General features: G+C 39.7%; 1 protein-coding gene and 1 long non-coding RNA gene across 13 annotated transcripts in view, besides 5 other annotated features; one reads left to right on the top strand and one right to left on the bottom strand.

The window, feature by feature from the left end:
* Positions 1 to 23,216, bottom strand: part of CSGALNACT2 (chondroitin sulfate N-acetylgalactosaminyltransferase 2) — a 46,864-nt gene extending 23,648 nt beyond the window's left edge. For 5 of the 11 annotated variants that reach the window (NR_135077.2, XM_017016388.3, NM_018590.5 and 2 more), the window contains exons 1-4: positions 23,094 to 23,216; positions 5,851 to 6,764; positions 2,730 to 2,946; positions 1,066 to 1,167 (exon numbers count right to left, since the gene is read on the bottom strand). Coding sequence is in view for 10 of the 11 variants with exons in the window: in XM_017016388.3 (XP_016871877.1) it covers positions 1,066 to 1,167; positions 2,730 to 2,946; positions 5,851 to 6,511 (980 nt within the window). In the remaining variant the exon portion in view is untranslated. The other 6 variants (NM_001319654.1, NM_001319656.1, XM_047425439.1 and 3 more) reach the window with 5 other exon arrangements.
* Positions 681 to 1,880: an enhancer, noted in NCBI's record as "P300/CBP strongly-dependent group 1 enhancer chr10:43655229-43656428 (GRCh37/hg19 assembly coordinates)". NCBI's record gives its function as "activates an origin of replication core promoter dependent on BRD2, BRD4, P300/CBP, MED14 and CDK7 cofactors, with strong dependence on P300/CBP, by STARR-seq in HCT116 cells {active_cell/tissue: HCT116}" and the evidence as "EXISTENCE:reporter gene assay evidence [ECO:0000049][PMID:35650434]".
* Positions 22,680 to 22,749: a silencer, noted in NCBI's record as "silent region_2318". NCBI's record gives its function as "represses an Ori minimal core promoter by ATAC-STARR-seq in GM12878 lymphoblastoid cells {active_cell/tissue: GM12878}" and the evidence as "EXISTENCE:reporter gene assay evidence [ECO:0000049][PMID:35858748]".
* Positions 22,860 to 23,359: a silencer, noted in NCBI's record as "silent region_2317". NCBI's record gives its function as "represses an Ori minimal core promoter by ATAC-STARR-seq in GM12878 lymphoblastoid cells {active_cell/tissue: GM12878}" and the evidence as "EXISTENCE:reporter gene assay evidence [ECO:0000049][PMID:35858748]".
* CSGALNACT2-DT (CSGALNACT2 divergent transcript) lies at positions 23,268 to 24,837 on the top strand. 2 transcript variants are annotated; one of them, NR_186457.1, is made up of 2 exons: positions 23,268 to 24,152; positions 24,237 to 24,837. It is a non-coding gene; the product is annotated as a CSGALNACT2 divergent transcript (long non-coding RNA). The 2 variants fall into 2 exon arrangements; NR_186456.1 differs by having other exon boundaries at positions 23,268 to 24,837.
* Positions 23,530 to 23,589: a silencer, noted in NCBI's record as "silent region_2316". NCBI's record gives its function as "represses an Ori minimal core promoter by ATAC-STARR-seq in GM12878 lymphoblastoid cells {active_cell/tissue: GM12878}" and the evidence as "EXISTENCE:reporter gene assay evidence [ECO:0000049][PMID:35858748]".
* Positions 23,720 to 23,919: a silencer, noted in NCBI's record as "silent region_2315". NCBI's record gives its function as "represses an Ori minimal core promoter by ATAC-STARR-seq in GM12878 lymphoblastoid cells {active_cell/tissue: GM12878}" and the evidence as "EXISTENCE:reporter gene assay evidence [ECO:0000049][PMID:35858748]".
* Positions 24,838 to 26,777: the final 1,940 nt, after the last annotated feature.

Genomic DNA, 26,777 nt, shown 5'->3' with positions numbered 1-26,777 from the left:
AGGGGAAGACAGTGAATTGTGTCTATATACATCAAGGCTCTGAGAATCCCTGCAGGTCAGGGACTCAGATTCACTCATCTACGCCCACTCTTCTTCCAACTACCCCAGTCAAACTCCCAAGCAGTGTACCTGGAACACAGTAGGCAGGACTCAATGAATGTGAGTTGAATGATTTGAGAAGAATGGCTGATCAAATCTGGGCTCTTGGCAAATGGCCACAACTGGCAGAAAGGTAAAGAAGCAAGTAAAGGATATAGAGCTGGTGTGGTTAGAGATGATAATCAACCTAATAGTTTACATTACATCATACTTACATTTACAAAATAGTTACATTTTACAAACACAAGAAGAACATTTTAAGACAGAAATACTGGTTAGGTTGTCAAAGGTAAAAAAGCAATGAAAAAGAATAACAGAAAAGAATTTGGCAGTTAAGTCGTTATCTTTGGGCCCATGATTTAGAAAGAAAAAGGCTGAGAGGCTAAAGAATTAATAATTAAGTACTAAGGGATTACTAATTCATCCATTCAAACCTCTGAGCATCTACTATGTGCCAGGTACTATATGACTTGCTTAGCTATGAACTACTGTCTCGTGATGTTGAGCTGTGAAAGGACAGAAACATAACAGTAGTGGCTGGGCACTTCAGAGTTGAGTGGGAGTTTCTTAAGGATATGGGAGACCTCAACATTGTTAGCAGGGGGAGAAGAAGGAGCCTGAGGAAATGGAAGGAAAGAAAGGTGACAAAAAAGAGACAAATTCAGAAGATGATTATGTCAAAGTGAAGGAATTAGATTTTAAAAAAAGGAAAGCAGCAGCAAATACACAGAAGGTGAGTGGGCCACAGAGAAAGCATCATGCCAGGCTGCTTGCTAAGCAGTGAAGGGAAGTTGAGTCATGTAGGGTTGCATGTGAAATGAGGAACTTATCATCACCACCACCGCCCACATGCTCAGCCAATTTTTAAATAATAGTTACTAAAAATTATTAACTCATTACATATCTGAAATTCTCTTTTAGCAATGTTATATATCAAGGCCTTCACTGCAGATGTGGTTCACCAACCTGGTGACAGATTCTAGGATAGACTTGACTTTAGACAGTCCTTCTTTACCAAAATACACCACTGTGAGATGAATCTTCTTGTCTTGATGAATACAAACATCCCTAACAGAAGTGAAAAATAAAAGTTTATTCAAGAAAACATGAGGCACTATTCATTAAGAAAGCAACCACATGAAGCTTTAACAAGAAAATGAGGCATTACTGACACAGTAGTAAACATAAATGTGGCAATACTGATGAATTATGGAAGGCACAAGGTCTATGCCTGAATGAGTGCACCCCTTGGAGGGCCATGGAAGCAGTCTGACATTGCTGCCATTATTTCAAAACATTTTTTGAACTTTTGCTTTTGGATTGCTTTCAGAAGCAAATCACAAGCTATTCAAGGAAATAAACTCAACTGGTTCAGAACCACATAAATAAATACTGACCTTTTGGATTAAGAGTTATTTTGTCTTCAGACTGGCTAATTCCAAAAATTGTAACTATCATTAAGGAATAAATATTTGCCATGACTGAGATTACTTACTGTAAATAATAATGTGGCCTTTGAAAGTAATTCCAAGAAAGGCAATAAAAAAATGCTTTAGGAAATCGGATCTCAAGTGAGCTATTTGGAACAGTAAATCTCACTTGGAAGTATGACTGCCAGACATTCAGCTGCAGACCAGTTTTAATTAACCTTTTAAATCCAACAATTTCAATATGAGAATAAAGACTAGGATCACAAAGCATTAAACCAGTATATCAAAGTATCTAAAACATTAAAAATATTAAAGTATTAGAAACATGGAAACTGTTAAATCAAAAAGCATTTTCCACAAATAGTTTTCATAATGTGTAGATAATTATTTAACACTTCAGCATTTTAAAATATACAAATTTGATAACATAAAAAAACTTTACAAATTCTCTGCTTTGCAAGCTGAAATAACTTTCTCCAATTTTTAGTTTAATGTTTGTATGTCTAAATGTATTTCAATTAAAAAACTCAAATCATTCTCAAGGGGATTTTCTTGTGAGACACAAGTATTCTGTATCTTAATTGGGGTGGTGGTTCGTGAGTGTATACGTTTGTCAAAAGACATTAAATTCCAGCCTGGACAACATGGCAAGACCTTCTCTCTACAAAGAATAAAAAAGATGGCATGCACCTGTGGTCCCAGCTACTTGGGAGGTTGAGGCAGGAGGATCACTTGAGCCCAGGAGGTTGAGGCTGCAGTGAACTGTGCTCACTCCACTGCATTCTAGCCTGGGTGATAGAGTGAGACCCTGTCTCAAAAAAAAAAATAAAAATAAAAAAAGAGTCATGATACCTATATCCTTAAAATATGTGGATTTTACTGCATGTAAATTATTCCTTAGTAAAGTTGATTTTTTAAAAATTCAACTTGTCTTAAAATGAATTCAAAACAATTATCAAGGCCATCAAATTTAGTTTCTAATAGGTGTCACTCTTAATTTATTTCATAGTTCAAATTGTCTATAACACAATATACTACACATGCTTTAAAAAAAGAGAGAATATAAAAAAATAAAGTTCCCCTAAAGCCTGTAAAATTATTCTAAGTAATTATAATCGGTGAAGATAAATTAAGGAAATCTGAGTAAAACGTGATTTTTTTTAGGAGAATGTAGCTTAATCATTAAGCCCTGACAGTTACCTGAAGTTCTGCATAAATTGTACAAATGCTTCAGTTCTTTCAGCAAGTGGCACAATGATATTAATAATTGATCTAGTGATGTCAATCATCTCACTCTTCACTTTCATGAGAGGTCCAAAAGGGCGGAAGAGGGTCACATGTCTATATTCCGTAAGGTCTGCTTTCTTAAAAAAGAGTTCATACTGTGTGCCCTTATCTCTCTCAGTGCGATAATAACCTAAAGGAAAGAGTTAGGAACAAAGACGTCTCCATGTCAAAGTTTACAAATTCAATGGGAAGACAGATTTTACTCACTTAAACATAAAGGGTATTAAACTAGACCTGCAGGATTTTTACCTATTTGTGAAAATACTTATCCCCACTGCACAGTAACAATTACTCGCTTAAAAGAAAAGGTTAAAAAAAAAGTTCACTGTTCTGTTATTTTATTCAATCTATAAAATATACTACAAATGACAATTGTTCCTTTTTACATACGACTTTTTAAAAATACTAGAGCCTATCAATATGGTAATCATGATAAATAAAGAAATTACTTCTAGCAATATTAAAATCTAGACCCAAGAGCCAAAATTTCTATTGGTTTAGGTCAACTAAAAGAAATCGAGTGCCTTCGTGTCAGTTATGTGATACAAAGAGTGCCACATGGTCTCAATTTTGAGGACAGGGCCAGTCTAGTGAAGGAGACAGAAAAATAGACAAATAATAACAATATAGTGCTATGTGATATATATATATATCTGTATATATATATGTGTGTATACATACATACATATAAAATCACTGACTAGAGTGAAGTCAAAGAAAAATTGGTACAGATTTAAACACAGTGATTTGAGATGCCTTTGAGAGAAAAGCATGCGCATCTACGAGGCAATCTGATTTTTTTTTTTTTTTTTTTTTTTAGACGGAGTCTCACTCTGTCACCAGGCTGGAGTGCAGTGGTGCAATCTTGGCTCACTGCAACCTCCATCTCCCGGGTTCAAGCAATTCTTCTGCCTCAGCCTCCCAAGTAGCTGGGACTACAGGCGTGTGTCACCACGCCCAGCTAATTTTTGTATTTTTAGTAGAGACGGGGTTTCACTATGTTGGCCAGGATGGTCTTGATCTCTTGACCTCATAATCTGCCCACCTCGGCCTCCCAAAGTGCTGGGATTACAGGAGTGAGCCACTGCGCCCAGTGGCAATCTGATTTTTAAGTATGGCGCTCAGGAGAGAGAAGAAGGTTAGACCTACAGATGTGTGAGTCACTCAGTAAATATCTGGGTATAAAATGGTGAATAAAATAGACTTGGTCCCAACCCTCCTGAGGCTTACACTTTAGTAGGAAGCACAAACCAGGAAATGGGCAATGCCACATACTGTGACAAGCAGTATGAATGTACAGGTGACAAGAGCACACAGAAGTACTGCTGTCTTAGACCTGAGGTTGCAGATGACTTCTCAGAAGAAGTGATATCTGAGCTAAAGTTTAGAAGAGGGATAGGAATTAGTTGTCATTACTAATTATTAGTAATTATTCTCCCTGCAGTGGGCAGACAGTGGCACAGTAGAGGAAAAGTGAGGAACAGAATATGTTCCATTTAGAGAAAAATCCTGAAGTATCAGAATCCAAGGAGAGTTATAAGACAAAAGCAGGAGCTGCAGAATATAAAACTGGCACAGCTCCCTTTCTTTTTAGGTAGAGCTGATGTGAGGACATTTTACACATGTTACTTAGTTATCTTATTTCCTCCGCAGCTTCCAATTCTGCCATAAGCTACAAACATACAGTGAGAAGACAAAAAGCTGAGCTTGCAGAAAAATCAGAAGAGTTTTGAGAAAAATAATCCATCAAAAATGGCAGGAAGTGACAGCAGAAAAAAGAGGAGGCCACAAGGAAAGGCAGCTGCAATGCCACTGCAAAGCATAATGCCCTCCCTGATGGCCTCCAAGGGCCTCAGTGTATTATAATAATGCTACAGTGCAGCAAGTGATGGCCATGATGATTTGGAGTCAAAAAGTCTACATGTGCTATACGAGGGGTCCCTAACCCCCAGGCCACAGACCGCTACTGGTCCGTGGCCTGTTTGTTGGGAACTAGGCGGCACAGCAAGAGGTGAGTGATGGGAGCCTGGCAAGCATTACCGCCTGAGCTCCGCCTCCTGTCGGATCAGTGGCTGCACTGGATTCTCAAAGTAGAGCAAACTCTGTTGTGAACTGCACATGCAAGGAATCTACACTGCACGCTCTTTATGAGAATCTAACTAATGCCAGATGATCTGAGGTGGAACAGTTTCATCCCAAAACCATCCTCACCATCCCATGGAAAAATTGTCACCCATGAAACCAGTCCCTGGTGCCAAAAAGGCTGGGGACCACTGTGATAACACAGTTTATAGAATCAAGCAAAGAGAACTTTCAAGAAACATTTATTTTTAAAATGGTTTAAGTCAGCAATTAAATGTCTAGCAGTGAGTGTAAAGGAGATGGGTAGGGATCTAGAATTATTACTGTTAATATCAATCAATATCTTAAATTTTATAGCAGTGTTCTTCAACCTCTGAGTCACATCCCATCTTGATACATAAAAATTCCATACCCTTTCTGAAATATGTATTAGGAAAACAGGTATTTCCTTACTTTTCCAAATGCCAAATGTGCTTTTTAAACTATGTATAACCCCTTGTTCAGACATGAGCTTCTCCTTCCTCCAATACGAAAAATAGCTAAGAGTCTACTAATTTTTTCTTTCCTTTATCAAATGGTTTTCAAGTTTTGAGTTTTAGTTTACACATTTTTTAAAAACATAAAAAAGAACACCAAGATCAGGTAAGTGAGGAATATAAATCATACACATGCAACAAGAGCTGTTTTATTCTATTTCCCTAGTCCTTATTCTCCATTTTTATTATGATCTCATACCTTTTTCCAGAAGGCCACTTAAAATTCTTGGTGCAATGAAGTGCAAAAACTTTCAGTGTTTTAATACTGTGGATAATGACTGACTTATATTACTAACATTTGTCTACAATACAATACTAGCATTTGTCTACAGTACAATACTACAATACAATACCAGCATACAATACTAGCATTTGTCTTACTAACATAATATTGACCAACATATTTTTCACATTACCTTCTACGAAGTCATTTTCATTAAATATCAGTTTCTCTCCAAGGGGACCCTCCTCATCTTCTTGTTCATCATCTTCATCAGGATTATTAATGACCTCCAAGCCCGCTTCAATAACTTCCACCAATTCATCTCGTTTGTCTTTTCTAACTGGCTTTTCTTCAGGATGGCGAGTGAGACCCATTTCCAATTGAAATACTTTCATTAAGGTAAAACTTTCAAAGGGAATGACCCCATACTCACTGGGTAGTTTGGCCCCTATGCTAACTTCAGCTTTGTCAATTTGGGAATGAAGAAACTCTAAAAGATCACTAGGTGCTTGCTCTTTGTTGCTCTGATAGCCTATGCCATTAGCCCCTACATTCCTTCTTTCTTGCAGTGACCGCATCTTCTCACTCATTTCTTGTAATTCTTGTTTTAGTTGGGCAATTTGGCGTTTCAGACTGGTTGCCCTGGTCTGATAATGTTCTTCTTGTTCCTGTAGGAGGGCTTGATAATACTCTTTACCATAATTTTCCCCAACAACACCAGGAAGAGATGCATTTCCATCAGTCTGGGGGGCACATTCCAGGAGGTACATAAATAATACCAAACTGCAGAGCAAAGCAAGGCCCAACAGCAACCAGTGGGTCCGGGTGTGAAGAATCAGTCCTCTTCTAGGCATTCTTATTAATGTGTATTTGCCTAACAAAATAAGCTCTTTGTGTGTTCATACCTTTAGTAAAAAGTTATCAAAAATTAAAAACAAAATCAGAATTTCCATAAAATAATTCTGCCGTAGCTTTAAGTTTTTCTTTCTTCAGCAGTCATGACTACTTGCAGAAATGGGAAATTATGTATACTTTCTGTATTGTTACCATGATATCCAGAATAAAGCAATCTGATATATAAAATCCATTATATTGGTAGTGATTTTTCTGAAAGACACAGATCAGAATCAATCAGAATTTTGTTCCCTTAAGGATATCAAATTTGTTTGTGGCTTCAGTAAACTTAGCTACGTGACTACTACATGCAGAGAACTATGAGAGGTACTAATATAATTTAGAATATTCAGTAAATACTAGGAGAATTTTTTTTTTTTTTTGAGATGGAGTCTCACTCCGTCACCCAGGCTGGAATGCAGTGGCACAATCTTGGCTTACTGCAACCTCTGCCTCCTGGGTTCAAGTGATCCTTCCATCTCAGCTTCCTGAGTAGCTGGGACTACAGGCATCTGCCTACCACTCCCAGCTAATTTTTGTATTTTTAGTAGAGACAAGGTTTCACCATGTTAGCCAGGCTGGTCCTGACCTCAGGTGATCTGCCTGTCTTGGCCTCCCAAAGTGCTGGGATTACAGGTGTGAGCCACTGAGCCTGGCCTGGGAGAATTTTTTAAAATACCTTAAAAAACAATAAACTATGTATAATACTTTTAACTATTATGTCTACACAGCTATAACTTGAATCAAAGAAACATTAAAATTACGTCAGCATAGTCTGTATTACATATATTCTACTGTTCTCTAATTATTTGAAAATTATATTGCCTATAACTCTTTATTAACATAGTATTTCAATTACCGCACCATTTCCCAACTAAAGCTTATGACCATTTGGGAACTGAGTTTATAGAAACTGTTTCTGTTACAGTAATAACGGTTTACTGGAGAGAGAGATTTTCTCCCAGTTTATTCAACTCAAGCATTCTACCTCATTAATTTCTACTGCTCAGCTCAGCCAATCTAGGAGACTTAAAATTAAGTGGGGGAAAGAACAACTTCAAAAGCTCACAGACATCTGAAAAACACATTAAGAAAACATTTTTATATCCAATGTCCTCCAGTAGATTATTTGCACATTAGATCACATAATTCTTTCCACTGTATTATGCATCAACAGATTTCCTACAAGTCTAGAAAGGTTTGGAGTCTATATAAAGAAAAAACATGAAGAATTTAATCATCCTTATCAGCAGAGAAAAAAATTCAAAAACCATTTATACATTTATAAAATTACATGCTATCGTTCATGCCACAACCAGTTGTGCGAACTCTTCCATGTCTTTAATGATTCTTAACTCTAAAAATAGAGGTTTAACTTAGGACAAGGGAGGCAAGGAGGACTCCACTGCAAAGAGAACTTCCATTGTAACAAAGTGCTTGTTGAGAAGGATAATGTGATATGACAGCAGGTTTTTAACAGTAATGGTTTTCTCACTGCAGCAAAACCTGGAAGATCACTACAGGTTATCAGTCCTAGCCACTTTTTTAATGAGTAGAAAAACCTGGATGCTTTCTGTGGCAAATGCTGCAATGCGTATTTTTTTTTTTTTGGTAACATGTCTGTATAAAACATAGGACAGAAGAAAACTTCTTATGGCCAATATACCACAAATAATGGTCTTAACTCTCCTTAGTCATTTATTATTTTAGTAAACGAAATGATAACCAAGTATCTTGAAAAATTTAACTCACTACAAGGGAGTCCTTTTTTTTTTGAGACAGAGTCTTGCTCTGTCGCCCAGGCTGCAGTGCAGTGGCGCGATCTTGGCTCGCTGCAAGCTCCGCCTCCTGGGTTCGCGCTATTCTCCTGCCTCAGCCTCCCGAGTAGCTGGGACTACAAGCGCCGGCCACCACGCCCGGCTAATTTTTGTATTTTTAGTAGAGACGGGGTTTCATCGTGGTCTCATCTCCTGACCTCGTGATCCGCCCGCCTCGGCCTCCCAAAGTGCTGGGATTAGCCACCGCGCCTGGCCAAGGGAGTCTTTTACTATTACAGCATCTCTCTTACTGATTATAAATCTTGTTTGAGTGATGTAGAAAAAAACAGAAAAAAAATAGTTGGCTTTAAGAAATACCATCTAATCAAAAAATAACTAGTATTATTTCCAGGACTTAACCATACCTCAAAACCATAATCCCTAGCATAAGAAAACACTTGAATTTCATTATTTAAAAGATAAACCTAGCGGTATCTGTTTTAACTATTACTAGCCCATTTATTAGGAAAAAGAACTGAAAATGTGGAGACATAATCTTGTATAATAAAGATATACATACTTTAATTAATAAAGATATACATACTTAAGCATGTTATACTCAAAACTGAAGTGAAACTGGGTAACAGAACTACCACTATCTTTTATTAATATGGTACCTCATATGTTTTCTTTATATACACAATGTATTTTAGACTATGAGCTATAACTCAGACAATAGGTCACTACTGAAGGTTTACTTTTCAATAAAATAGAATGGAAATTATCAGTGGCAGTGTTAAAAAGCTAAGGTCATTTTTCTTCCTCTTCCCTTTAAGGGAAATACAGGTTTTGAGATATCCTACTTAATATTACAGTTGAATATTTTCCAATAAAATGAAAGGATACTGTAATTACTTCAGAATGTAAAAGTTGCATAATTCTGTGGTTATTAAAAATGAAAGATTTCAATTAAAATCTTATTTGCCTAGTTCCCGAAAGAAACTCTTTGGCCATAATCTAGAAGATTACATTATAGCTGTTCTATCATATAAATATATTAAGAATATTATAGAAAACATTTTTCTGTTGTTACATCTTGATTGTCATCATTCTATGAAATGTGTTTGTATCATGAATACGGTTCATTCACAGCCCAGAGTTAATCCCAACAAGCCTTCTAAGCACAAATGCAGATAGTTAAGTGTTTTGAGGAGAGAAAAGGATAATGTGAAGATGGGAAAATAAGCTGTTAAAGGTATGTAATATGAAGCCAAAGATCTCAGGATTGAAAGAAACCTTACAAGCCATCAATTCTAACTCTCTAAAACTGCTTAAAAAACTGACTTCCTTTTACGACCAAGATGAAGTAACGGGCCAGATTTACTCTCAGATTTGCTCTCTTTGGTTGTCTTGAAACAACCAAAAACAAACAAACAACTTTTCCTGCCAACAAACCCAAAATATGAAACAATGATTTTCAAGATATTTAACATCAGGTAACAAAGGACAGTGATCCCCAGAGAAACAAGAAACAAGTGGTTGCCAGCTTACTGCCTTAGTTTCTGAGCCACACAAGGAGGGGAACCTAAGCAGAGCCCAGCAGATTCCCTGAGTTCATGGGATGCAGCTCATAGTCTGAAGAGACCAAGGTATCTAGGATTAAAGCATATAGTACCAGAGTGGATACAGCTGCACACAGAGAGAACTCCAGAAATCTGAATAGGATATCCCATGGGTATTTGGCAGAGCACTGATAAGTAAAGGCTTATGAGGCAACTAACGGGCTAAGGAAAGGACCACACACAAAATTAGAGGACACAGAACCCAGCATTCATACAGGGCCAGGATTAGTGCATGTTCCCAACAGACAGACTGGAAAACCTCAGAATTCCCAGGGCACTCGGTAGAGCACTCAAAAAAATCTTGTCTCAGTAGTGGGAAATAATTAGCTCTAGACTAAACATGGCACTAATCCTGCCAATACATCTTAAAAGCAAGACTTGAAAGGATCACATTATTTCCAAGTAATAGCACAACAAGCCTTAAGAATATTTATAAGAATACAGAAATATCCAGTACTCAACAAAATAAAATTCACAATATCTGGCATCTCAACAAAAATTACCAGGTATAAAAAAATATGATCCATAATGAAAAAAATCAACAATTAAAACTGACCAATGATTAGAACTGACAGATGTGGGAATCTGCAGAAAAAGGACACCAAAACAGCTATCATAACTGTATTTTTAAAATGATGTTTATGTTCAAAAATTTAAGTAGAGGTATGAATGACATAAAAGAGATCCAAGTTAAACTTCAGGAGATGAAAATTTCAGTGTCTGAGATGAAAAATACACTGAATGGGATTAATGGCAGATTAGATATTTTAGAAGAAAATATTAGTAAACTAGAGATGTAGCAAAAGAAACTATGCAACATACAGAAAGAAAAAAGAATCAAAAATATAAACAAAGCATTGATAAGCTCTGTGACAACTTCAAACAGCCTAATATACATGTAACTGGAGTCCCCAAAGAAGGGGGAAGGAGTCAGGAGAAATACTTAAACAAATAAGGCTGAAAATTTCCCAAATTTGATGGAAACTATAAACACACATAAGAAGCTCAACCAATCCCAAATAGCCATAAAGAAAATTATAGCAAGGTACATGATAATCAAATTGCTCAAATCCAATGTAAAGAGAAAATCTTTAAACTGGCCACATGAAAAATGCACATCACATACAAGGAACAAAAGATAATAATGACAGATTACTCTTTGAAAACTGAAAGTAATTAGACAGTGGAACAATGATCTTTAAAGAACTAAAAAGAAAAATATGCCAGCCTACAATTCTATACCCAGAGAAATTATCTTTGAAAAAGGCAAAATACTTTCTCTACATAAAAAGCTAAAGGAATTCATCACCATCATACCTGTACTGTAAGTCTTTTAGGCAGAGGAACATAATACCAGAAAGGAATATGGATTTATACAAAGCAATGAAAAACATCATTAATGTTAACGACATTGGTAACTAAGATTTTTGCTCATTATTATCTAAATCTCTTCAAAAGATAACTGAATAAAATGGACAAAATCCTAGAAAGATAGAAACTAACAAAACTGATTTAAGAAGAAATACCAGATATGAATAGACTTATATGACAAAAGATTGAATTAATAATAATAAAAAAACTACTCACAATGAAAAGTCCAGGCCAAGAGGCTTCACTGGTGGAATGTACCAAACATTTATTTATTATTACTATTATTTTTTTTGAGACAGAGTTTCGCTCTTGTTGCCCAGGCTGGAGTGCAATGGCGCGATCTCAGCTCACCGCAACCTCCGCCTCCCACGTTCAAGGGATTCTCCTGCCTCAGCCTGCCGAGTAGCTAGGATTACAGGCATGCACCACCACGCCTGGCTAATTCTGTATTTTTAGTAGAGATGGGGTTTCTCCATGTTGGTCAGGCTGGTCTTGAACTCTCGACCTCAGGTGATCCACCCGCCTCAGCCTCGAAAAGTGCTGGGATCACAGGCGTGAGCCACCACACCCAGCCTAGCAAACATTTAAATAAGAATTATTATTATTAAATAAGAATTATCTTCACAGACTCTTCCAAAAAATAGAAGAGGAAGCATTCTATAAGGTCAGTATCATCCTGCTACCAAATCCAGACATTAAAAGAAAACCATAGGCCAATATCCTATATGAATATAAATACAAAAATCCTCAACAAAATACTAGCAAAACGAACCCAGCAATATATAAGAGGAATCATACATCATGGCCAAATAAGATTTATCCCAGGACTGCAAGGTTGGTTTAACATCTGAAAATCAATTAATGCAATATACCATATCAATAGAAGACAAAATTCACTTGATCATCTCAACAGACATGGAAAAAGCATTTGACAAAATCCAACACCATTTCCTAATAAAAACCATTCAATAGGGGCTGGGTGCGGTGGCTCACACCTGTAATTCCAGCACTTTGGAAGGCCGAGGTGGGCAGATCCCACGAGGTCAGGAGATAGAGACCATCCTGGCTAGCACAATGAAACCCCGCCTCTACTAAAAATACAAAAAATTAGCCGGGTGTGGTGGTGGCATGCACCTGCAGTCCCAGCTACTCAGGAGGCTGAGTTAGGAGAATCACATGGACCTGGGAGGCGGAGGTTGCAGTGAGCCGAGATCACGCCACTGCACTGCAGCCTGGGCGACAAAGCGAGACTCCATCTCAAAAAACCAAACCAAACCAAACCAAACACCATTCAATAAACTAGAAGACACCTTCCTAATCTAAGAAAAGGGACCTACAAAAAACCCATAGCTAACATTGTATTTAATGATGAAAGACTGTATGCCTTCCCCCAAGATCAGGAATAAGACAAGGATGTCTGTTCTTGTCACTTCTATTTATATTGTACTAGAGGAGGTTGTAGCCAAGGCAATTAGGCAAGAAAATGAAATAAAAGGCATCCAGATTGAAAAGGAAGAAGTAAAACTATCCTTATTTGCAGATGATATGATCTGTATGCAGAAAATCCTAAGGAATTCACTAAAAATCTATTATAACTAATAAATGAGTTCAGCCAGTTGTAGGATACAATATCGATATACAAAAATCAATTGTATTTCTCTACATTAGCAACAAGCAATCTGAAAATGAAATTAAAAAAACAATCCTGTATACAATATGGCATCAAAAAGAATAAAATAGGAATAATGTTAACAAAAGAACTGCAAGACTTGTATTCATAGAAACTACAAAACATTGTTGGAAGAAAGTTAAGATTTAAATAAACAGAAAGACACCACACTCATGATTGGAAGGCTTAATATTGCTAAAATGGTAATATTCCCCAATTAATGTACAGATTAAACACAATCCTCTTCAAGAATCCCAGTGGACTTCTTGCAGAAATTGGCAAGCTGATCTTAAAATTTATACAAATTCAAGAAACCCAGAATAACCCAAATAATATTGAACAAGAAAAATGAAATTGAAGGAAAACACTTCCCAATTCCAAAAATTACTACAGAGCCCCAGGTAATTAAGACAATGTGGTATGGCATAGAAATAGACATATAGTCAATGGAATGGAACTTAAAGCCCAAAAATAAATCATCACATTTATGGTTAGTTGATTTTCAACAAGAATAGCAAGGCAGTTCAATGGGAGAAAGAATAGTTTTTTCAATAAATAGTACTGGGACAACTGGATATTTACAGGCAAAAGAATGAAACTAGACTCCTACTTCACACCACATTCAAAAATTATCTCAAAATGGGTCAAATATCTGAATATAAGAGTCAAAACTAGAAAACTCTTAGAACAAAACCTATGTGTAAATATTTGTGACCTTGGATCAGGCAACAGCTTCTTAGATATGACACCAAAGACAAAACAAATATTAACTGGACCTCATCAAAATAAAAAAACTTGTGTTGCAAAGGACATCAACAAGAAAGTGAAGAAATAACCCATACAATTAGAGAACATTTGTAAATCATTTGTCTGTCTTACTTTAAAAAGCAAAAAAAAAAAAAAAAAAAGATAACTCGACAAGCAAAAGATCTGAACAGACATTTCTCTAAAGAAGATATATAAATGGCCTATATAAATACATGAAAAGATGCTCAACACCATTAGCCAAAAAGGAAATGCAAATCAAAAGCACAATTAGATACCACTCCACATCCACTAGCATGTAATTCAAGGTGAATCATAGACCTAAATGGAAAAAAACCAAAAGCAAGCATAGGATAAAATCTTTGTCACTCTGAGTTAGGCAAAGATTTCTTAGATATGATATTCAATAGCATAAATGATAAATTGAATTTCATCAAAATTAGCAATCTGTGCTCTTTCAAAGACATTGTTAAGAGAATGAGAAGACAAGTGATGGACCTGGAGAAAATATGGGCAAAGCATGCGTCTTATAAAGGACTTGTACCAAGAATATATTTTAAAATGATCAAAATGAAATAATAACAAACACAACTCAATTAAAATGTGGGAAAAGGCCTGAACCCTTCAAATAAACACTTGAAAAAGATGCTCGGCCGGGCGCGGTGGCTCACGCCTGTAATCCCAGCACTTTGGGAGGCCGAGGCGGGCGGATCACGAGGTCAGGAGATCGAGACCATCCCGGCTAAAACGGTGAAACCCCGTCTCTACTAAAAATACAAAAAATTAGCCGGGCGTAGTGGCGGGCGCCTGTAGTCCCAGCTACTTGGGAGGCTGAGGCAGGAGAATGGCGTGAACCCGGGAGGCGGAGCTTGCAGTGAGCCGAGATCCCGCCACTGCACTCCAGCCTGGGCGACAGAGCGAGACTCCCGTCTCCACAAAAAAAAAAAAAAAAAAAAAAAAAAGATGCTCAACATTGTTAGTCATTAGGGAAATGCAAATCAAACCATAATAAGACACCACTACACAGAAGGGCTAAAAATAGAATGGCTAACATTAAAAAGAATGACCATACCAAGTGTTGTTAACGTGGAAGGACTAGAACTTTCATACACTGCTGATGGGAATATAAAATAGTTTTGTTAATAAGTTATGAACTTAACAAGTTAGATTATTTTCTTATTAAAAAAAAAAAAAAGACAGCATCTTGCTCTGTTACCAGAGCTGTAGCGCAGTGCCTCTATCATATTATAGCTCAATGTAGCCTAACTCCTGGGCTCAAGTGATCCTCCTGCCTCAGCTTCCCGAGTATCTGGGGCTACAAGTGGGAGCCACTACACCTGGTGGGATGGCTAATATTGAGTGTCAACTTGACTGAACTGAAGGATACAAAGTATTGTTCATGGGTGTGTCTGTGAGGGTGTTGCCAAAGGAAATTAACATTTGAGTCAGTGGACTGGGAGGGGTAGACCCACACTCAATCTGGTTGGGCACCATCTACTCAGCTGCCAGCGGGGGTAGAATAAAGCAGGCAGGAGAAGATGGAAGGGCTGACTTGCTGAGTCTTATGGACTTCATCTTTCTCCCATGCTGGATGCTTCCTGACCTAGAACATCAGACTCCAAGTTCTTTAGCTTTTGGACTCTTGGACTTACACCAGTGGTTTTCCAGGGGCTCTTGGGCCTTTGGCTGCACAGACTGAAGGCTGCACTGTTAGCTTCCCTACTTTTGGGACTCGTACTGATCCACCACTGGCTTCCTTGCTCCTCAACTTGCTGATGACCTATCATGGGACTTCACCTTGTGATGGTGTGAGTCAATTCTCCTTAATAAACTCCCTTTCATATATACATATATCCTCTTAGTTCTGTCCCTCTAGAGAACCCAGACTAATACACTTGGCTAATTAAAAAAAAATCTTTTTTTAGAGAGAGAGTCTTGCTATGTAGTCCAGGCCAAGTTTCTTAATAAGTGAGTAAGCCTACTCATATGATCCAGCCATTCCATTCCTAGATATTTACCTAAAAGAAATGAAAGCACATATTCATACTATTAAAATAAGATGGAGACCAGGTCTGTAAATCCCCTGGACAAAGCCAGTTAAGCCATTAAAACAACCTTGACCTTGCAAATATAAGCAATAGAAGCAAAACTTAATTTGGGCTGTTTGCAAATGTAAACTTTGGTTATTTTTTGTCTGTGCCTATATTAAAGAAAAATCAGGCTGGGCATGGTGGCTCATGCCTGTAAGCACCTTGGGAGGTTGAAGCAGGAGGATCACTTGAGGCCAGAATTTGAGATCAGCCTGGGCAATATAGCTAGCGAGACCTTGCCTCTATAAGAAATTAAAAAATTAGCCAGGCGTGGCGATGCATGTCTGTAGTTCATGTTGCCCTGGTTACTTGAGAGGCTGAGGTGGGAGGATCACTTGAGCCCAGGAGTTCAAAGCTGCAGTGAGCTACGATCGCACCAAAGCACTCTAGCCCTGTCTCTTAAAAAAAAAAAAAAAAAAAAAAAAGAAACAAACAAACTTAGGCTACGCCAATTAGAAGCCATCAACTAACTTACATAACTAGGGACTTTCCAATAGGATGGACTAAACAAGGCAACTATATAAATATAATTAATCAAATATTTTCTTTGCCTTGTTTCCTTGTTCATCCTATAGAAGTCTTCCACTTGCATTCCTTTGGTGGAGTCCCAAATCACTTTTGATTTGTTGCTGTCTGATTCATGAATTGCTGTTTGCTCAGACAAAACTCTTTAAAATTTTATTCTGCCTCAGTTTATACTTTAACAATACCAAAACTTGTACACAAATGTTCATAGCAGCTTCTAGGTGTAGAGCCCAAAACCAGAAACAACCCAGGGTCCACCAACAGGTGAATGGACAAACTGTAGTAAAACAGATACACAATGGAACACTGCTTAGCAATAAAAAGGAATAAACTCTGACACATGCTTCACCATGGATAAATATCAACAATTACTCTGAGTAATAGGAGCCAGGCAACAGAAGTACTTACTATATGATTCTATTTATATAAAATTTTAGAAAATGCAAGGTAATTTGTAGTTAACTGAAAGTAAATCAGTCAATGATTGCCTGTGGGAGGTGGTACCAGGAAGGAATTATAAAAAGGGGTGAAAAAACTTTTGGGAGTAATGGATTTGCTCATTACTTTGGTTGCAGTGATGATTTCACAGGTGTATACATATGTTAAAACTTATCAAATTGCACACTTTAAATATGTGGTTTATTTTATGTCAATTATACCTCAATGAAGCTGTTTAAAAAATAAAGCCAAGTCAGATTCAGTAGCAGTGCCAAAAAGGCATTTGTAAAACAACAACAAAAAAAAACCCCTCCAGTTTGTTTACTGAAGTATAAAGATTTGTTGATTATGAATTTGCATTTAAAAAACAAAACTAAGCCCCTCATCTCCCCAAAAATAGAGTACTACATATTTACATATTCCTTTAAAGGTCTTACCATATCTTTTCTCCTTGCCTTGTGACTTGGAGACAACAGAAGTGTTAAAGATAGTTAATGCTACAGCACTGGTCCCTTACATAATAATAAGACCCTTAAGGAGTTTTTACTCAATCTTGATTATACACAATTTTTGGTACTATGAACACAAATGTTATGCATCATTTCCAGGACATGTACATTGCATGCAGTATGTCAAGCTAACTTGGAAGACTAATCTACTGCCCTCTGAAAGATATAATCCATTTGAGTGTATTATAAAACATATTCTGTATAATCTTCCTAAATTTTCTGCACAGAACAATTTCTCATTAAGGTTTTCAAAAACTAAATTTATAATTTTGAGTTCATTTTTTACAAAGCAAAAACAAAGCCACACAATTATTTGGAAAACATAACCAGTCAGAAAACTAAAGCATTATGAAGTGTAAATATCTAGGAAGGAGGAGATCAGAATGTTTCATTTCTTGATAAGTTCTTGATTACTTGATAAGTATTACAGTGATGCATGGGTTGTCAACATGTTATTGAATAAGTGGTCTGTAAGTACTGATCATCTGAAAGCAGCACTTTTTCAACAAATACTTGATTACCTACTGTGTGTCAGGCACTGTGCTGAGTACCAAGGACAAGTAATATCAAATGGATCCTTTTAACAGCGTGTTTCTGGAGAAAACTATAATCATGGTACCTGGATTTCAGCAAGACAAAGGAGAAAAATGTGCCAAACTGTGGCACAGCAAAAACCAGTTAAAGAGTCAAGTGTAACAGCTACTTAATAGCTATGTAATCTTGGGCATAACACTTCACCTCTCAGGGCCTCCTCTCAAAAATGAGGCAGTTTTGCCTGAACAGTCAATGTTCCTTCCAAGATATTATGATTCCTTTATTATGATTCCACACACACACACACACACACACACACACACACACACACACACATTTTTGGAGAGCAAACTTGATTTAAATGCACAGGCCGTTTAATCCAGCAATTCACAATTCCACTTTCCTGATTCTATACTACAGAAGTATCCATACTACTATATAAAGTCACATACATAGGATGTTTATCAGTGTTACACGTAACAGCAAAATAAAATTATAAGCAACTTAATGTTCATCAATAGAGGAAAGGTTAAATTAACTGAAGACATTTATACAACAGAATATTTTAAAGGAATTAGGTACATCTTTATGTGCTGATGTAGATAGTACCTACAAAATGGTGTTACCATGTTGCAAATATTTTTTCTCAGTTTGTCTTGTCCACAATAGGCTTGGGAGCCAGATGGCCTGAATTCAAAGATCTGCATCATGGTTTTCTACTCTTCATTACAGACAAATTCCATAATATATGTAAACTTCAGTTTCCTCCTCTGTTAAGTGGGAATAATTACAGAACCTACCTTAGAGTATAATTATAACACTTATTCAAGTAAAACATGACAAGCATAAGTGCTCAGTAACTGTTAGATATTATTTCCTATTAAGCAAAGTTTTGTTGGTGGTGGTGGTGGTGGTAATAGACTCAAATCTATCAATCTTTTCCTATTTCTTGATTTTAGCTTCCCTACCTGAAGTAATCCTAATAAAAGTAATTTTTCCCTCAAATAGATAGCTAATTCTTGCCATTTACCATGCAATCCATGCTCTTGTCACTAGTTTGAAATGCCATCTTTATCATTAGCAAAATTCCTATATATGCATAAGTCCATTTCTGACCTCTAAACCAGGAATCAGCAAATATTTTAGGTCAGACAGTAAATGTCACAACCAGTTGATTCTGCCTTTGCAGCACAAAAGCAGTCACAGATGATATGTAAGTGAATGAGTATAGTTGTGTTCCAAGGGACACTGAAATTTGAACTTCATATAATTTTCATGGGTCATGAAGCATTATTTTCTTTTTCTCCCCAAAGCATTAGAAAGTATAGGGCTGGGCACGGTGGCTCATGCGTGTAATCCCAGCACTTTGGGAGGCTGAGGCAGGCAGATCACGAGGTCAGGAGTTCAAGACCAGCCTGAGGAACACGGTGAAACCCCGTCTCTACTAAAAATTAGCCGGGCATGGTGGCATGCACCTGTAATCCCAGCTACTCAGGAAGCCGAGGCAGGAGAATCACTTGAACCCAGGAAACAGAGGTTGCAGTGAGCCAAGATCACGCCACTGCACTCCAGCCTGGGCAACAGAGTGAGACTCTGTCTCAAAAATAAATAAATAAATAAATAAACAAATAAATAAATACAAAATAAAAAAAATAAAAAGTGTAAAAGCCAGTCTTAGATCACAGGCTATACTAAAACAGGCAGCCAGCCATACTGGCAACCCCTGCTTTAACTTCTAAAAAATTTTTACACTTTAAAAATTTCACAAAATAAATACATGTGATAAAAAGGTTAAACAACATATAAGGGCACACAACCCCAATCCCTTCTGTGAGCTGGTAGGGAAGAAGAGTGGGGAACAGTCAGCAAACCTAACACATCTTTCCATAAGCTCTCAGAAAAGGCATACTTCTTGTTCGTCCCCACTGTACAGACAAAGAAACAGACCAGAGAGGGAAGGGTTGATCTATATTTGCCAGTCCTTTGTCCTCTGATACTTATTTCTCCCTGGCTCAGGATGCCCAAGACTGTGCCTGGACACTCCTACCTTCGCGATCTCTGTTATCTCTGTGGTTATTTCTTCTTTTCCTATTTCTAATGCCTCCTGGAACTCCTATTAGATGTATATTGACTCTTCTAGATCTACTTTGCATGTCATGGGTAGTCTTTCCCACTTTCTTTTTTTTTTTTTTTTTTTTTTTTTTTGAGACAGTTTCACTGTCAGCCAGGCTGAAGTGCAGTGGCAGCCTCCACTGCCTGAACAGCTGGGACGACAGGTGTGCACTACCATACTGCTAATTTTAAAAATGATTTGTGGCCAGGTGCGGTGGCTCACGCCTGTAATCCCAACACTTTGGGAGGCTGAGGCAGGTGGATCATGAGGTCAGGAGATCAAGACTATCCTGGCTAACATGGTGAAACCCGTCTCTACTAAAAATACAAAAATTAGCCGGGCATGGTGGCGGGCGCCTGTAGTCCCAGCTACTCGGGAGGCTGAGGCAGGAGAATGGCGTGAACCTGGGAGGTGGAGCTCGCAGTAAGCCGAGATGGCGCCACTGCACTCCAGCCTGGGCAACAGAGCCAGACTCCGTCTCAAAAAAAAAAAAAATTATTTGTAGAGACAGGGTCTCATTATGTTGCCTAGGCTGCTCTCAAACTCCTGGAATCCAGAGATCCTCCTGCCTCGGCCTTCCAAAGTGTTGGAATTACAGGCATGAGCCACCACACCTGGCCCTTTCCTACTTTCCATGTTTAAATATTCAAGAATCAATTGCTTTTTTTCATGGCAGCCTGTATGTGTTCAGTAGGCATAATACCTTAACAAATTTGAAGATACTAATACTTACTTTAAAGCTTTCTTTTGTCTTACATTAGCTCCACTGCTTCAGTGCCTAGTTCTGTATTTGTTTGGTCTGAAGCTTCTCTTAGATGCTACCGATTTCCCACAAATGTTTAGTGATTTTTGTTGTGTGTTCACATTATAAATGTGCTAGTAGTATCTCAGTCCATATGAAAATCACTGTACTCCTGCTGTGAATTCACATTTGTAACTAGCCCTATAATTCAATTTTACACTTATACCTAGTGCTTGTGTAGCATGACAATAACAATGTAAGTTCTTTGACTTGCAGTCCCGTGATTCTTCAATCCACTTTCAGTCATATCCTTTTGGTATTTCATTTCCTCTAAAAAACCACTAACTTGAGTAATACAGTTCTTAAGTAAATGTTATGCTAAACTTCAGAGTCAGATCCTCACCAGCTCTAACAGACTTGTCTAACAGTTAAACAAACAATGACAGTCCGACAGAAGACAGTCATAAATGTGCAATTCAAAGGGTAAATAATAACATGGTAATGAATGAATCACTTACGTCTTGAACTCATAATAGTTATGCTTTTTTAAAACCAACCTTGAATGTTATATTAGTTAAAATAACAAATTCTATTACATTAAAAAAAAGATGACTCCATGTTGGTTAAATTTTCTGCCTTTGGTTGGTAATGGTATGGTTGGTAATGACTCCATGTTGGTAATTTTCTGCTTATGCCATGACTCAGTCATTCTATAGCTGACAGAAATGCATACAGATGCTCACCAAGACATTTAATTTACAAGAATGTCCACAGTACTCTTTTTTTTTTCTTTTCTTTTTGAGACCGAGTCAGGCTCTGTCGTCCAGGCTGGAGTGCAGTGGCACGATCTCGGCTCACTGCAACCTCCACCTCCCGCCTCAGCCTCCCAAGTAGCTGGGCTTACAGGCGCCCGCCACCACGCCTGGCTAATTTTTGTATTTTTAGTAGAGATGCGGTTTCACCATGTTTGCCAGGCTGGTCTCGAACTCCTGACCAAGTGATCCACCTGCCTCGGCCTCCCCAAGCGCTGGGATAAAAGGCCTGAGCCACCACGCCAGGCCCACAGTATTCTTAATATCCAAAACACATCATATACAAAAATTGGGAACATAAATGTCCATCAACTGAAGAGTAGTCACATATTATTCAATAGACTATTACACAGTAATAATACAATACCATGAAATAGCATGGGTGTGTCCCACAAACAATATGCTGAGAATACTACGTGATTCCATTAACATGAAGCTCAAAACAGAGAAAACTAAAAGCAGATAAGAGAAGTTAGAATACAGATGGGAAAACAAGGATATAACTGACTTGGAAGAAGCACAGGAAAATAGGATGATGGAAATGTTCTATGGTTATAATTTGATATATCTGGTGGTTCCACAGGGTAATAAGTATGTAAAAATTCATTGAGCTGTACAATTAAGATTCGTGCTCTTATTGATTTCATATGTATTTTATGCCTCGACAAAAACAAAGAGAAAAATGCAGCTTCTAAACTGGTTGGAACTGTGTTTATTTAGGCCAAAATCCTCTGAGCCACAAATACTGGAAATCCATCTTTTTTCATTCTTTTAGTTACATGACAACTTTAAACAAATGGTACAAGAACAATAATACAAAATGAACGCTAACACTCAGTCCTAAAATACTTGGCTTCTTACTTCCAAGATCGAAGCTACTATTTTAATACAACATTCAAAAAACAACATTAATTACCAGACATGAAGGCCCTGCTCCCGCGAGCCTTGAATGACGGTGAAACGTCACGACATCCCATATCTATCTCAAAAGCACGCTAGAAAATACCTCCAAGTTTAACAAGCCAAGGACTCAGGAAGAGAAGCTTCAGATGTATAATCAAACTATCATACCGCCAATACCATCATCACAAACAGAAGTATCACTGTCGTGCTTCCTGCGTTGCTCAAGGGTAGAGTCATTTTTAAGGTGCATTCTCCGACAACGCCAGAGGCTCCCCATCTCCTCCGCCCCACTGAGCCCTCCACGACAGAGCATCTTTACCGGCGCTCGCTCTGCCATCTACAGATAAAGAGGGGCTGAGGGCAGAACTATTTTAACGCGATGACGAGGTCACCACTGATTAAAAAGTTTATCCACTGAGAGGAGCAGAGATGGTGATGAATAGGTAAAAACAAAACGAAACAAAACAAAACCCAACACTGACAAGCGAACCAATCGTCTCTGGCCGCGCTTTCCCTAAAACCGGTGCCGACTCCGGCAGGCTCATCCCTGAGAGACAGGGCCCCCCGCAGGACCGGTCCGCTAGGCGACCCCACCCGACCACACAGGAGCCCGCAGCCCCGGCGCCCGCACCGCCCGGGCCGGAGCCGGCGGGAGTCGCGGACCGGCGGGCGAGGCCGGGCCAGGTACTCACCGCGCTCGCCCGCTCTGCGCTCCACCGCCTCCTGCGCCGCGGGGACACCCGGGCGGCGCCTCACGCCTTGGGCCCGCCGCCGCCTCAGCCACCCACCCCCGGGCGCGCCGCCGCGCCTGAGAGGCCACTTCCGGCGCGCGCGAGGAAATGAAGCCGCCGCGCGCCCGCGGCCCCGCCCAGGAAGCTCCGCCACTGGCAGCTGGGTACCGATTCATCACCGACGTGTTTAAAGTATCCGTGTGTGTGCCTCCAAAAACCGTTTGTGGAGACAGCAGAGTGCCCGAGGCAGGAAACCGCTCCGGCCTGGAGGCGCCCCTGCCCGGACTCGTGGACTGCAGCGCTGTCCCGCTCGGAAGCCGATCCTGGGAGTCCGAGCGGGGCCGCGGGGCCTGCGTGGCAGCCGAGTCGAGGGCTTCGGGCCGCGGGGCTGTGGAGCGCCCCTTGGCGCTGGGCCGCCGGCAGCCGTGAGCGCATCACTGCATTTCCCTGGAGGAATTCCTCATCTGTTGAATGAGGGAGTTGAGGCGGACACGCTGGGAAATGGCTTCGAGCTCACACACTGATTTTCGTGAGTGGAAAGAGAAGCCCTTTCTTAGGCGTCTTCCATACCACTGCATGTTCCAGGGTCCTCCCTGGGCTCTCTGTCTCCCACGCCACCGCGAGCACGGCCTAAGCGGGCGAGCGAAGGCGCGACGGCGCCGAGAGCCGGCTGTGGTGGGTGCCGGGCGCGTCACCGCGGGCTGGCGGGGGAGGGGACGCTGGGAAGCTCTCCAGAAAGAGGAGCCGCCACCGAGCAAATTCCCATCTGCCACGCACCGCAGAGCCTCGCCCTCCGCCGCCAGCATTTTCTTTCTTTGTTCTCCTAGCCCTACAAACGCTGGGTTTCCTTTCTCATTCGTGGACTTTTTTCCCTGGATCCTTCTTACTGCTCCTACCCTGTGGCCGCACGTCTGGCAGATGCGCGGCGGGCGCTGCCTGAACCCCCGAATCCTCACAAGCCTCTGTGCAGCGGCCACGGCCCTCAGCTAGCGGCGGGGAGACTGAAGCCGCAGGGTCAGGGTTAGTTGCCACATGTTTTAAATTCCTATCCAAACTTCCATTATAATTGTTTTTATTTATTTATTCATCTATTTTTTGAGACAGGGTCCCGCTCTGTCGCCCAGGCTGGAGTGCAGTGGAGCGATCACGGTTCACTGCAGCCTCCCCACCTCCGACTCCAGCGATCCTCTCGCCTCAGCCTCCCGAGTAGCTGGGACCACAGGTGCATGCCACCATGCCCGGCTAATTGTTAATATTTTTTTTGGTAGAGATGGGGCCTCCCTCTGTTGCCTAGGCTGGCCTTGAACTCCTGGGCTCAAGCGATCTTCCAGCTTCGGCCTCCCAAAGTGCTGGCATTACAGGCGTGAGTCACCCCGCCTGGCAAGAATTGTTGTTTTGAAACTAACTGAGGTTCTCCCATCAATGGATTTAAATTGTTACTTTTTAATGATTTTTTTTTAAGTAGCCAAATACTAAATGTATGTAATTTGAATGTGGAGAGAAGATAATGCATGATTCAAATTATGTGGCTGATCATGGGTGATACACTGGGATATAGTTGTAAAATAAGTAGTTCTCCTAGGGAAAATATTAAAGTACAACTGTGTTGGGTTTAATATCAGAAAAATGTAATTAAAAACATTTCCTGCCAATAATTTCCAATCTGATACTTAAACAAAACAAAACAATAAAAGTTTCCCATCTCTTTCGGGCCTTTTAAATTTCTACCAAAAGTAAGTGATGCTGGCTGATTCCCCTGCTATAGCAAGTTGTGAATAAATAGCCTTTGCTGGTTTCCACAGTTTTCCTGGTGATCCCATGGTAAGTCTGTACTGCTTGTCCCTGAGGTCCCCAGGCTTCCACCCATTGTGCCACCCAGAGGCCCCTCATGCCTCCATGTTCTCGGCCTATCAGGTGCGCCGATGTGGTCAGCACTAGGGCTCACCTCACTCTGCGTGGAGGTCTCTGGCTATTTATTCTCAGTTTGGTACTCTGGTTTTGTTATTGATTCTCATTTGTCTGGCATCTCTAGTGGAATCAGGCCATTCTTTTTATCCCTTTTCACTGTATTTTGTGTTAGTGTTTAGTGTTGTGCTGTCAAAAAGTGCTGCTTGTCATAAGAAGGAAAACCGTAGGAAAGGACACAGGCATGGGGCTCATAAGCCTCTTGTTTGAGCCAGCCTCGCAGCTCATGATTTAGCAGTTCTCATCACACCGGCCTCTACTTGGAGAAACTTTGCTGTGGGTTTCCAGTAAAACTGAATGAGGTTCTCCTTCCGTCTCGCTTTCATGTCCTGAGAGACACAAACATTCCATTTCTCGCCAGCCTCACCAGCCAGCATTCATGGTGTTGTCTAAGTTTAAATCTCCTCCTCCAGAAAAAACTCCTGCTTCTTACATATACTCTCTAACAATTCTAATCCTTACGCCCATCTCTGAAAAGCATTAACTTCACCAAGGTTGATTTGGTGAAGATCTTATTTGGAGAACATCTAACTTGAACAAAATTGCTCATTTGAGAGATGCCTTAGAAACGAAAGAGAATAAGATTTCTTAGGCCCAATGAGCAGCCTTTTTTGATTGGTAGTCAGAGGTCTCCAAATGATATTCTGATTCAAAAAGTGCTTCCCTGAAAGACTCTGGCTAAAGCTGATGAGCGATTTGGCAAACTTAAGCAGCAACAACCTAGACTCATTTTCCTAGTAAATCCTTCTGCTTATCATCCATTTGCTTCCCTAATACAGCTCTCCCTCTTCTCCCCCTTATCCTTCTGATCTCTTCCCTTCCACACATCTGTCCACACTTCTCTTCCTCTTGTCCAGATCCCTGCCCTTTCACAACAACCCTCCTATGACCCCAGGATGCCAGCTGCCTCTCTGAAGGCCTATTCCTCCATGAGCCCCATATACAGACAACTGTGGAATTTAAACCTTAGACCCAAGCTAAATTAATAACCATAATTAAGGATTTCCCCAAACCCAGGCAAGATCAGCAACTATGCATAAAATAATTAAGAATACTTTGGTCAGGCACTATGGCTCACACCTGTAATCCCATCATTTTGGAAGGTGAATCAGTGAGGACTGCCTGAGCCTACAAGTTAGACCAGCATGAGCAACATAGTGAGATCTCCATCTCTATGGAAAAAAAAACCCAGGCATGGTGGTGTGTGCCTGTAGTCCTAGCTACTCAAGAGGCTAGATGGGAGGATCACTTGCGCCCAGGAGGTTGAGGCTGCAGTGAGCCATGATTGCACCACGGGCACTCTAGCCTTGGTGGCAGAGCAAGACCCTATCGCAAAGCGGCGGGGGGAAGCATGTGACCCAGTGTTACCTAACCCATATCAACTTGTACACATTGACCAGAACCTTGCATGCTAAATCCTGAATGGCAAAAGTTGACTAGACTCCCCCAAAAGGGATCCTAGGATCCCACTGTCCACAATAAAACTGAAGAGTTAACAAAGAGGCTCAAAACATAGGGCAAAGTCTTCTAAAAGCCATATCTCAAACATTCCCCCCACCAAAAAGATTAGACCATAATCCCTTGTCATGCAAAAACAAACAAACAAACAAAAGGACCTGCAGGAGTTTTTTTTGGGATAGGCTAGAAAATACATTGTATCATTTGGGAGTCTAGAAAGTG

This window comes from Homo sapiens, chromosome 10, assembly GCF_000001405.40.
Source record: "Homo sapiens chromosome 10, GRCh38.p14 Primary Assembly".
Classification (NCBI taxonomy): Eukaryota; Metazoa; Chordata; class Mammalia; order Primates; family Hominidae; genus Homo; species Homo sapiens.
Note: the sequence above shows the minus strand (reverse complement) of the source record. Positions and strands in the feature narration are given on the sequence as shown.